This window comes from Homo sapiens, chromosome 2 (genome assembly GCF_000001405.40).
Source record: "Homo sapiens chromosome 2, GRCh38.p14 Primary Assembly".
Lineage (NCBI taxonomy): Eukaryota > Metazoa > Chordata > Mammalia > Primates > Hominidae > Homo > Homo sapiens.
In genome coordinates this window covers 85,888,756-85,901,323 of record NC_000002.12, presented here as the reverse complement: position 1 = coordinate 85,901,323, position 12,568 = coordinate 85,888,756, and the positions used below count along the sequence as shown (strand labels likewise).

Genomic DNA, 12,568 nt, shown 5'->3' with positions numbered 1-12,568 from the left:
ACATGCAGCTGTACCGAGTACAAGGAAAATACCAGGAACCATGATAATGTACTTTCAGACCATCTTAGTTCAGTACAATGTTATGATCGTGAGTAATATGGTGAGATGATCACAGAACTCCTAGTTGTTCCACTGCTCTTTTTAGATTTTTTTTTTCTTAAAGATTAAAAAAAGCACAAGGCTGGGAGGCCAAGGCAGGTGGATCACCTGAGGTCAGGAGTTCAAGACCAGCCTGACCAACATGGAGAAACCCTGTCTCTACTAAAAATACAAAATTAGCCAGGCATGGTGGCACATGCCTGTAATCCCAGTTACTCGGGAGGCTGAGGCAGGAGAATTGCTTGAACCCAGGAGGCGAAGGTTGCAGTGAGCCGAGATAGCATCATTGCACTCCAGCCTGGGCAACAAGAGTGAAACTCCGTCTCGAAAACAAACAAACAGACAAAACAAACAAACAAACAAACCCCACAAGGCTACCAAAAGATTTGAGCAAGAACATTCATAGCAGCATTATCTGCTATAGCCTCCAACTTGAAACAATTCAAATATCCACCAAGGGGATTGAAAAAATACTGTGATCTATTCATGCTCTGCAGCAATGAAAATAAACACATTTAAGCTACCTGCAGCAACATGGATGAACCTTACAGGTGCCATTTTGAGTGAAAGGAAGCAGACACAGAGAGTCCACACTATAGGATTTCTTTTATACAAAGTTCAAAATCAGGCTAACCTAACCTATGTAACGGAAGTCAGAGGAGTGGCTGCCACAGCAGGAAAACACTGAGAGGGTGGTGACCGTAAAGAGCCATGAGGCAGGCTCAGGAAGACAGGCAATGTTCTGTTTCTTGGCCTAGGTGGCTACATGGTATGTTCACTTAGAGAAAATTTATTGAGCTATACATTTATGGTTTTGTAACTTTCTAGTATGCCTCTTATATTTCTGTGAATACATTTACTGTTCTAAGTGTATATGAAAATGAAAAGGTATGATTTTTTTCTTGTTGACCCTAGAAAAATGGCCACAAAGGATGATGTTCTCTGGGATAAGCAGAGATGATGTGTCCCTGATGACTGAAGGCTTGATTAGTTCTCCCATTTCCACTATCTCCCTTCTCCCATTTGCTTCAGTCTCCATTCTTGGTGGAGCTTCTGCAATCCACAAACATTTTGCAATGTGATTGGCATTATGATTGCTTAGAAGCAATCCCGTGGGATTGGCAGTAACAGTGCTCTTGTTCTAAATCTGGTTCTACCTGGTTGACCAGATGGCTTATTTTAGCCTCTGTTTCTTATACAGAGTCAGAAAAATAGGTCAGGGGCCTGCTCCTTGGTCTGTGGTTGGTACTCTTGTTCCTACTTACCATTAGTCTGGCACTTGACATAAGCTGCCCTGGGGCCCACAGAGATGCCACCACCATGCATAGCCCAGCCACAGTCTGGACCATAAGACTTCCAACTTCCTGCACAGCTGTGGCGTTTAGTGGTCAGTACCTGGGTATTCATGGACATCTCTATCATGCACTTCAGGGGAACTGGACACAGGTCCTGGCCTCTCCAGGAAGCCCCACCCCTCTAGTACTGCTCCATCCCACCATACCTCAGTCAAGGGAAACCCAAATCCCTAGGGCGTAGATCTCCTGAAGGGGTGAAGGGACAAAACAACATCTCCAATTGTCTGAGAATGAGACTGGGGGAGGAAGAAGAAATAACTAAGTTCTACCAGGTTGTTTGCCCTACCCACTAAAACCCAGGCACTATGCCCTTTTCCATGGAATGTTCAGAGAAAATGAAGCTCCTGCCTCTAAGCACCTGACAGGCCCAATTGAGAATGTAAGTGCATCCCTGAGTTTAAGAAAACACTAAAACAAAAACTGGCCAGAAAAGCTAGTGTTTGAAGAAGCAGCAGAGGCCTGGTCCCCTCTCCAGTTGATCTTGCATACTCTACCATGTTACCATTTCCACATTACCACTTTTATCAGACCTTTAGGCCCTCCACATAGAAGTTTCGTTTCACCCACACAGTATTTGTCTGCCCTGCAATTAAATACATTTTAAAATTTGTTGTTAACATTTAAAAATTGAGATAATTCAACTTTTAAAAATCCAGATTTCTGACCTTTCTTGAAAAATCTAAAGATCTAGCGACACAGAGTGTTTGACTCCTATAAGCCAGCAATTGGCAGAAGTTGAGCAGGGGCTGTCCCCTTTAGATGGAGCTCTCCAGCTGCCATAGTCCCTACTACCTATTGTCCCCACTTACTATTGCCTCACACCCCTTTAGTTTGCCCTTGATCTTGAAAGATTTCCTTGTTTCTACAATTCAGGGTTGACAGTTATCTTCTCCTAGAACTTTGCAGACACTCCCTGTCTTCTGGCAATTTTCAGCATAATTTCTATTTCCCTGTAGATAATTTGTCTTTTCTCTGTGGCTTCTTTTAAGATCTCCTTTTTGTCTCTAGTGATCAGCAGTTTCACTGTGATGTTTCTAATATTTCTGTTAATTTTCCTGCTTATTGATTTTGGGGAGTTCTTACATCTAAAGGTTGTGTATTTTTGATTCTGGAAAAAATTCCATCATTATTTCTTTAGTTATTGCCTCTGAACCATTTTCTCTATTTTTTATTTCTGGAAATCTGAGTAGGCATGTGCTAGACTTTTGGTTTATTCTATCCTCCACATCCCTTAGTCTCATTTGCATTTCCTGTAACCTTTTTTCTGTCAGTGTTGCATTTTGGGTAATTTCTTTGTGTCCATCTTTCAATTCACTAATTGTATCTTTATCTCTCTCTTTTATTGTTTAACTGGCCTACTGAATTATTGTTGGTAGTCTCTTACTTCCTACTCATACTTTCAATACCTTCTTTTATTTCTAGAAACATACTGAACAACCTTATTTTATGTTTTGAGTCTTCTAATTCATTATCTGAATCTTCATTTTATTATTTTGCCAATTTTTGCCATTTTATTATTTTTGCAGTTAAGTGATGTCTTAAACTGCAAATTCAAATTCCTTGGAATTCTGGAGGAACTGTCTTAGTCTTGGGTCTAGAGAGCATGCTGCTACAGGTGATTTGCTTTTTACAAGTGTCTAAGGGAATTACCAACCTGGGACCACTTTAAAATAATGTTTGGCTTGAAGGTTTTCACTCACAAAGGTGGTATGAATTCCTGTCCCAAATGCATGAATGTGGGCTTTTGGTTAGGAATTCTTAGGGGAAACTTTTGTCTTTGTTTTGGTTCCACTCTGAGCTAAAATGAGGTATCTTAAGGCAAATTGACTATCTATGGCAAGCATTCCTTTGTTTCCTTTGGGGAGAAAAGTCCAACCACCCTTGCTGAAATTTCCACCCTTTGAGGGCTCTGGTGTGCATAAGGATTTCCAATCTGATTTCACCCTCTGCTCCAGTCTAGATTTTGTCTCCTATCTCCAGCCTGCTGCTTGGCCAGTATTAGCAGGTGGCTTCAGGGCAAGTGCTGGCTCCTGCTCACCTCTCGGGATTAACACTTTCTCATTGTTCGACCTCAGAGGAGTTTCCTCCCATTCCTGCCAGCCCAGCCTTGCTACAAAACATGTTTTAATAGTTTCCCCAGTATCTTAGGGGTTTTGAGTTGGCAGATTTCTCCAGAATCTGCTTTGCCATGTTGCTAGAGACATGGCACTCACTTTTCTAGCATCATTTTCCAGTAGTTCCCCAGAATCCTTTGCATATCCTATTTCTTCTTCCTAGACAACCCTTCCTCATCTTCTCCATTTGCTAAATCATATTATGGTGGGCAGAATTCTAAGATAGCTCCCAATATTCCTGGCTCTCGGGATATGCACACTTTCAGTCATTCAAACATGAATCTAAGTGTTGCTGCGGAGAGCTTTTGCGGATGTAATTAAGGTCCCAAATCTGTTGACCTTAAAATAAGGAGATGATCTAGGCAGGCCTGCCCTAATCACATGGGCCTTTTAAAAGCAGAGAGTTTTGTCTGAATGGCAGCAGAAGAGAAATTGATAGAGCTGTGCTCTGGCTGCCCTGGAAGAAAGCAAGTGTCCACACCACGAACTTCCCATGGGACCACATGGCAAGGAACTTCCTATGGGGCCACCCTAGGAGCTGAGGGGGGAGGGTCTCTGGCCAACAGCTAGCAAGAAAATGAGGACCTCAATCCTATTATAACTGTAAGGAAATAAATTCTGCCACAAAGCAATGATCTTGGATGAGGACACTGAGCCCAGATAGGAAATGCAGCCCTGACCACCACCTTGATTGATTTCTTTTTTTCCTTTGAGAAAGGGGTCTTGCTCTGTCACCTAGGCTGGAGTGCAGTGGCATGAGCATGGATCACTGTAGCCTTGACCTCCAGGTCTCAGGTGATCCACCCACCTCAGCCTTCCAAGTAGCTGGACCAGGCATGTGTCACCATGCCTGGTTAATTTTTGTATTTTTTGTAGAGACGGGGTCTCACCATGTTGTCCAGGCTGGTCTCGAACTCCTGGGCTCAAGCTATTGGCCCGCCTCCACCTCCAAAAGTGCTGGGATTACAGGCGTGAGCCACTGTACCCAGCCCCACCATCTTGATTTTGAAAACTGGCCCAATTGTCCCATAGAACTGATATTTATTGTTTCTTTTGAATAAACATGGAAATTGACCCCTCAAGTCTTGAAACTTGAGAAATTACATTTTTGTTATCTGGGTTCCTTTCTCTGGAAACCATCGGGCCTTCCAGGTAGTATCAAGGAACAGAAACTTACATATCACTGAATCTGGACAATGAGATGCCAGACTCCTCATCTGCCAGAAGACCACTTGCTTACTGTTGACCAACTCCTCTTCCTTACTCCTTCCTAATTCCTATTTTCACAGCCGTGGTTACATTTCTTCCTTGGTATTTAAACCCCTAATTTTATTTATTTATTTATTTTTATCTATTTATTTATTTTGAAATGGAATTTCGCTCTTGTCACTCAGGCTGGAGCGCAATGGCACAATCTCGGCTCACTGAAACCTCCACCTCCTGGGTTCAAGCGATTCTCCTGCCTCAGCCTCCTAAGTAGCTGAGACTAAAGGCACATGCCATCATGCCCAGCTAATTTTTGTATTTTTAGTAGAGACAGGGTTTTGCCACATTGGCCAGGCTGGTCTTGAACTTCTGACCTCAGGTGATCTGCCTGCCTCGGCCTCTCAAAGTGCGGGGATTACAGGCATGAGCCACTGCACCTGGCCTAAACCCCTAATTTTAGTAGGTCAGGGAAATAGATTTGAAACTGTTCTCCTATCTCCTTGGCTGTAGCAACAGACTAAAGCCTTCTTCACTGACAATACTTATTGTCTCAGTGATTGGCTTTCTGTGCTGGGAGTAGTGGGACTTAGACCAAAGCCCTATTTTGGTAACAATTTCAGTCATGTGAGCCCCTGGGTGGAGAATCCAGCTATACTGTACCTGACTTAAACTGTGAGATAATAAAGATGTGTCGTTTTAATCTAATTTGTGGTAATGTATTACACAGAAATAAAATAAGTATAGCCTGAAACTAATATGCCTATCAGTATACCTACCTTATCCTTCAAAACCAGTCTCACCCCTTTAAGAGGTGGCCTTGAGCTCCAAGACGGATTCTGCTGTGCCCCCTTGATGCTCCTAGGGCTCTTTTTTTGGGGGTGGGAGGACAGGGTCTCACTCTGTCACCCAGGCTAGAGTGCAGTGGTTTGATCATGGCTCACTGCAGCCTCAAACTCCTCAAGCAACCCTCCTGCCTCAGCCTCCCAAGTAGCAGGGACCACATGTGCAAGCTACCACATCCAGCTAATTTTTTAAATTTTTTTGTAGAGATGAGGTCTCACTATATTACCCAGGCTAGTCTCAAACTCAGGGTCAAGCGATCCTCCCACCTTGGCCTCCCAAAGGGCTGAGATTGCAAGAGTGAGCCACTGCACCCTGCCTTTGGCTCCTTGTTAGTTTTTCTCTTATCTTGTTGTTTTACTGGTTTTTGTTTGTTTGTTTGTTAGAAGTGTCTTTCTCTTCTGTTAGACCATTTGATCCTTCAGGGTGAGGACTATGTCTTAGTGTATTAGTCTGTTTTCATGCTGCTGATAAAGACATACCCATGACTGGGTAATTTATAAAGAAAAAGAGGTTTAATGGACTCACAGTTCCATGTGGCGGGGAGGCCTCACAATCACAGTGGAAGGTGAAAGGCACATCTTACATGGCGGCAGACAAGAGAGAATGAGAACTGAGCGAAAGGGGTTTCCCCTTATAAAACCATCAGATCACATGAGACTTCTTCACTACCACAAGAACAGTCTGGAGGAAACTGCCCCCATGATTTAATTATCTCCCACTGGGTCCCTCCCACAACATGTAGGAATTATGGGAGCTACAATTCAAGATGAGGTTTGGGTGGGGACACAGCCAAACCCTATCACTTAGGTAGGCTTGAGGCAAGAGAATAAGGTCTGGAGGCAGGGAACCTAAGGCTGATTTGCACTGACTTCCTAAAATTGAATCAGATGGAAAACCCCACCTCTCCATACCCAAGTAACAAAAGGATCAGAGGCCACTCCCTTTGCACTGCATCACAGATGAAAAATGGAAAGTACCTCTGACTGGTCCCCTCCCGCAACCAATCAGACTGGTCACGGTTCACTCCTTTGTTTACATAGGGTATAACCAAGTAACCAGTGGGAAACCTCTAGAGGGTATTTAAACCCCAGAAAATTCTGTAACCAGCCCTCTTGAACCATTCACTCGGGCCATTCCTACTCTGTGGAGTATACTTTCATTTCAATAAATCTGCGCTTTCTTTCCTTCATTCTTTTGTTGCTTTGTTTGTGCATTTTGTCCAATTCTTTGTTCAAAACGCCAAGAACCTGGACGACTACTGATTTGTCAGGACCCTCTACTGGTAACAGGCTCTGGACTCTGACATCCTGGGTTTGAATCCTGACTTTGTGACCCTGGGCAGGTTGTTTTATCTCCTTAAGTTTCTCTAAGCCTCGGGTTCCTTGGGTAAGATATGGGGATAAGAGACCCTACCTTAAAGGGACACTGTGAAGATAAAATGAAGTAATTTATGTTATGCACTTAGCATGATGCCTCACACATAATAGGCTCTCAGCAAATATTTGTAGAATGAATATATGGGTGAGGGACAGACAGAAGGGCAGCCTGAAGATGTGCCTGGATCTGTCAATATGCATCACTCCACTAACAGAAGAATTCATTCCATGAGGGATTGTTTCCTCAATCTGAGCCTCCTCTGCCAACCGCCAGCCTTCCCATGATGTTTTTGTGTCATCTTTTTCCCTCCTTTGTTTGTTTTACTCCCGCTTCTCCTGTGATTGCTCACAGGAAAACATTCCTAGAAAAACCTCAAGAGACCAACTTCCTTTGTGCTTCAGGGCAGCAGACAGAGCCTGTGTTCTGTTGGCTACAGCTGTGCTCCAGCCCCCGAGGGCCTGCGGAAGAGACAACGTCTCAGGGGGACCAGACAGAAGTCCAACATAAAAAGACAATGCTTCAGTAAGTAACCTGGGCCTGAAACTCCAACACGACAAGGTTATGTCACAGGGCAAGGGACCCCTCACCCCTCCTGCCTCACAGACTTCCTCGGTCTTGGCTGCCACCAACATCTTTCTTCCCGCCTTTCCTTCTGGCCACCTACAAATCAGTCACATCAGCATCACCCCTAACAGTTTCAAAGACACTGGGCCCTCAGGGAAGGCACAGCTTCTGTCATGGCATGGGATGAGGGCCATTTGGCAGGCAAAAAGAAACAGGCCGTTTGGAGAGACCTCTTTGAGACCTCAGTAATTTGAACCAATGACTCCCTACATTTTTACTTATTGCAAAAAACAACATTATAACAACATTAAAACAGATTTGTTAAAAAGGAAGAAAGATTACTTGTGATCCCACCACCCTAACACAACTATTTTCTTTTTCCAAGTTCTCTTCCAGTTTTTGGCCACATGATAGATGTTTGCATACGATGTGTTGCCTTTTTAATTTTTTTCACTTAATATTATATCCTAAGTCTTTTCCAGTATTGACATATGATCTTCACGTTGGCCACATTTTTCTCCCTGCAAATATTCCAGCCAATTAGACTGAGGCATAATTAATGATTTCTTAACCTTTGGGGATTCTTGTTCATCCCCTGGAATCTCTGAGGTTGGCTCTTGGCAAAGCTGTAAATGAAAGTAAGTTTGGTTTTGGGGCCCATCTGCATCCCTTGCAAATCTTCTTTCTTCCCTGCTAGCAGTTCTAGCCTAAGAGTTCTATTGCCATATCCCATTCCCCAACCTGTTCTCTAATATTGCGCTGCCAGTCATTGCACTATCAAAAAAAGTAATAATATAGGTTCTAATTTTTCCTCAGTGTAAAAGCAATACATATGCATGTTGACCAATATGGGAAATACAGAAAAGCAAAAATAAAAATAAGAAGTAAAAATCTGCTATAATCTTGCTGCTTACGATCATATGCCGCTGAAGATCCCATTTGCCTGAGCTAGGTACTTTCCTCCTGGACCCTTCTCTGCCTTCCAGCCTCATTTCATCATTGCAACTTGTGTTGCATAAGTAGGTACATAGCGAATCAGTTGGGGCATCTGGGGTTGGCTAGTTGAAACCACAGAGGAACTTACTATCTCATACAGGTGAAATGTACGGAGGCAAGATGGACTTCAGGACTGGTTTGATTTAGTGACTCAAAAATGTCATAAAGGAAATGGTTTCTTTCTAACCGTGGTCTTCTGCTTCCCACAGCATTACTTTCTTCCTAAAATAAGCTCTTCTTGTAGTCCAAGATGTCTGTCTTACCAACAGCTTCTGAGGCTACTTACTGCCTAGTTCTTGTCTAGCAGAACATGAAAGCATCTCTCCCCCAGCATCCAATAAATTCCTGAGACTTCCTCTGATTGGATCAGTGTGGTTCCTGTGGCTACCCATGAACCATTCCTAGTGGCAAGGAGGATGGGGCAATGGGGCTATCTGGGTGGCTGAGACCAGTAAGTCTCAAACTCTGGTCTCAGGATCAATTTACACACCTAGAAATTACTGAGGATCCCAAAGAATCTTTTTGACATGGTCTTTCTCTTGATATTTGCCAAATTAAAAATTAAAACTGAGAAATTTTTAAATATTTAATTTAATTTAAATATTTAAATTTTAAAATATTTATTAAGTCATTAAAATAATAAATCTGGCTGGGCATTGTGGTTCACACCTATAATCCCAGCACTTTGGGAGGCTGAGGAGGGTGGATCACCTGAGGTCCGGAGTTCTTGACCAGCCTGGCCAACATGGTGAAACCCCATCTGTACTAAAAATACAAATATTAGCTGGGCATGGTGGTACGTGCCTGTAATCCCAGCTACTTCTGGAGGCTAAGGCAGGAGAATCACCTGAACCTGGGAGGTGGAGGTTGCAGTGAGCCATGATTGTACCATTGCACTCCAGCCTGGGTGGCAGAGCAAGACTCTGTCTCAAGTAAAAAATAAATAAATAAAATAATAATAATAATAAATCCATTGCATGTTAATATATATTGATAAAAAATAACTTCTTTTTTTTAGACAGAGTTTCGCTCTGTCACCCAGGCTAGAGTGCACTAGCGTGATCTCGGCTCACTGCAACCTCTGCCTCCTGGGTTCAAGCAATTTTCCTGCCTCAGCCTCCTGAGTAGCTGGGATTACAGGCACATGCCACCATGCCCAGCTAATTTTTTGTACTTTTAGCAGAGACAGGGTTTCACCATGTTGTCCAGGCTGGTCTCAAACTCCTGACCTCAAGTAATCTGCCCACCTCGGCTTCCCAAAGTGCTGGGATCACAGGTGCGAGCCACCATGCCCAGCCAAAAAATAACTGGTTTTGGCTGCATGCAGTGGCTCACATCTGTGATCCCAGCACTTTGGGAGGCCCAGGCAGGAGGAACACTTGAGCCTAGGAGTTTGAGGCCAGCCTGGGCAACAGAGGGAGACTGCTGTCTCTACAAAAAATTAGAAATTAGCCTGGCATGGTGTTGGGTACCTGTAGTTCCAGCTACTTGGGAGGCTGAGGTAGGAGGATTGCTTGAGCCCAGGAGGTGGAGGTTGCAGTGAGCCAAGATCGTGCCACTGCACTCCAGCTTGGATGACAGAGTGAATCTGTCTCTAAAAAAGAAAAAAAAAAAAACGCTGCTGTCCTGGATTTGTAAGTAGCCTGAGTGACTCTTTGCTAGTCACTATTCAGAAGCTTCTCTGAGATCAGCCACTGACTTGGAGAGATAACAGTAAGGCTTTGAGATCTAGAGGCTGATCTTAGTCTGCTGTTTGGAGATCTCTGCCTTAATCCAGAATAATAGCTGAGGATGTCTCTGTGGCTGATGAAGAAAAGGAAGTTTGCAGGCCTGCTTGTCTTGCTGCCCAAGTGGGTCAACCTAATGTGAGTGGAGTGAATGAGGTAGTAAGGGCTTAACAGATGTCTTGTGATTCTGGGACAGGAGGCAGCTTCAAGTTCCTTTTCTTCCTCACCCCCACCTTACACCCATCCTTGGAAGCTGGGATACTGCTGACTCTCATGGCAGCCATAACGCTATCAGCGCCTGGCTTTGCCGACAAGGGGAATCTGGAAGAGAAGGGGAAGGACAGGGGAGACAAAGAGAGGTAAAGAGTGTTGCATCAAGCACATGTGTCAGAAGTGTTCAAACCAGAGCGCCTCCATTTTGAGTGAGGGCTAGAAAAATGAGGCTGGGACTTGCTAGGCTGCATTTCCTGAAAGCTAGGCATTCCTAGCCTCTAGGTGTTTATGGTTAAGAGAACAAATTAATAATGCTTACTAAACAGACCCAGACTTGAGAGAGTCCAGATATCCCGATATCTGGAGAACAAAGGCATTCCTAATTTTGCTTTAAAAATAATAATATTGATTATTGCAAAATATAGTAATTAGGGAAAATTAATCCTTTATCACAAACCCTTGTAGCAGAAGACATCTGCCCATATATACAAGCATTACAAGCATTGTACCTTAGTTGGATATGTCCCTCCTCTTATTTTCAGGAATGCCCTGCTGGAGTGCAGTGGCGATCTCGGCTCACTGTAGCCTCTGCCTCCCGGGTTCAAGCGATTCTCCTGCCTCAGCCCCGTGAGTAGCTGAGACAACAGGCTTGCGCCACCACGCCCGGCCAATATTTGTATTTCTAGTAGAGACGGGGTTTTGCCATGTTGGCCAGCTGGTCTTGAACTCCTGACATCAGGTGATCTGTCCGTCTCAGCCTCCCAAAGTGCTGGGATTACGCGTGAGCCACTGTGCCCAGCCACCACTTTACTTTCTTAATAAACTTGCTTTTACTTTGCACTGTGGACTTACTCTGAATTGTTTCTTGCGTGAGATCGAAGAACCCTCTCTTGGGGTCTAGATCGGGACCCCTTTCCTGTAACACATGGGCCTTGGGCTGATCTCCAAGATTAAGAGGGCAAGATACTCAGCTGCAAGGGTCAGCTGTCGCTGACCCCAGCAGCTGCTCTGCCTTGGCCAACTTACCGGATTTAAATCGCCCAGTGACAGCTTTTCCTCCAGTATTTTCAAAATGCTCCCAATATCCTCACGTTAGAACAATCCAGAAATAGTCTTATGGTAAAACTCTTTTGGGAAATGTGAAAGTAGAGTCCTCCCACCTTTTCCTTTGCAACGCTTTTGCCCCAACCTCGATCGCCCAGGCAGCACATTTTTTCCGGCACCCCCACCAAGGGAAGAACAGAGACATCTCCAAACCAGCTGCCCTGCGCCAAGCTGTTACAAAATAGAGCCACAAGTCTCCCGGTTTATGCAAACATATTTGGCTCGGTGTCTAGGATCTTCTTTTTCAAACTCAGAAGGAGATCACAGGCACACGGCCGCGGTGCTGTGTACGCCCCTCTGAAAGGAAGTTCTGCAAGTCGACCGACTTCACTGGCTTCACTGAAGTCCGGTCCGAAACCACCGGAAAGTTGCAGGCGCACAGTATACGTTCAGCTGTGTCCAAGAAATAACCTATCAATCACTGCCTTAAGCTTTGTTTCCTTCCTGAATTTTCTTATTTTCACGAATATTTATGCTTTCACAAACTGTATGTCATTTCCTCTCCAGAACCAAGGGGGGCTCGCCCCAGCCTGGCCCCCGCCCCGGGTGCGTCCCTGCAGGGGGCGCCCTGCTCTGGCAATGCCCACCGCACCGCAGGGCTGACTGGCCGCGCGCCCGGGGGCGGGGGCCGCCGCGGAGGCATCGTGCTCTCCGATTGGCCGTCCGCGTCCTCGTGACGTCAGACCCCGCCCACGCGCCCCTCCTCCGCATCTGAGCGGGGGAGCGGCGGCCCCCAGCTGAATGGGCGCGAGAGCGGCGCTGGGGGCGGGTGGGGGCGCGGGGTACCGGGCTGGCGGCCGGCCGGCGCCCCCTCATTAGTATGCGGACGAAGGCGGCGGGCTGCGCGGAGCGGCGTCCCCTGCAGCCGCGGACCGAGGCAGCGGCGGCACCTGCCGGCCGAGGTACGTGGCGCAGCCCCCTCCTCGGCGTCGCGGGGGCCCGCGGGCTGGGGGCTGCGGCGGCGACTTGT

The 12,568-nt window shown here is 45.4% G+C and overlaps 1 protein-coding gene and 1 long non-coding RNA gene across 12 annotated transcripts in view, besides 1 other annotated feature; one reads left to right on the top strand and one right to left on the bottom strand.

Moving 5' to 3' along the window:
- ST3GAL5-AS1 (ST3GAL5 antisense RNA 1) lies at nucleotides 9,072-12,044 on the bottom strand. Its single transcript, NR_110569.1, has 3 exons — nucleotides 11,521-12,044; nucleotides 10,119-10,148; nucleotides 9,072-9,633 (listed from the first exon to the last, which is right to left on the bottom strand). It is a non-coding gene; the product is annotated as an ST3GAL5 antisense RNA 1 (long non-coding RNA).
- Nucleotides 11,933-12,552: a silencer, noted in NCBI's record as "silent region_11709". NCBI's record gives its function as "represses an Ori minimal core promoter by ATAC-STARR-seq in GM12878 lymphoblastoid cells {active_cell/tissue: GM12878}" and the evidence as "EXISTENCE:reporter gene assay evidence [ECO:0000049][PMID:35858748]".
- ST3GAL5 (ST3 beta-galactoside alpha-2,3-sialyltransferase 5) overlaps nucleotides 12,290-12,568 on the top strand; it is a 51,915-nt gene continuing 51,636 nt past the window's right edge. For 7 of the 11 annotated variants that reach the window (NM_003896.4, NM_001354226.2, NM_001354233.2 and 4 more), the window contains exon 1: nucleotides 12,334-12,500. In NM_003896.4, the coding sequence (NP_003887.3) occupies nucleotides 12,419-12,500 (82 nt within the window). In that variant the 5' untranslated portion in view covers nucleotides 12,334-12,418. Of the gene's footprint in view, nucleotides 12,501-12,568 lie in introns of all 11 variants that reach the window. The other 4 variants (XR_007084237.1, XR_007084231.1, NM_001363847.1 and 1 more) reach the window with 1 other exon arrangement.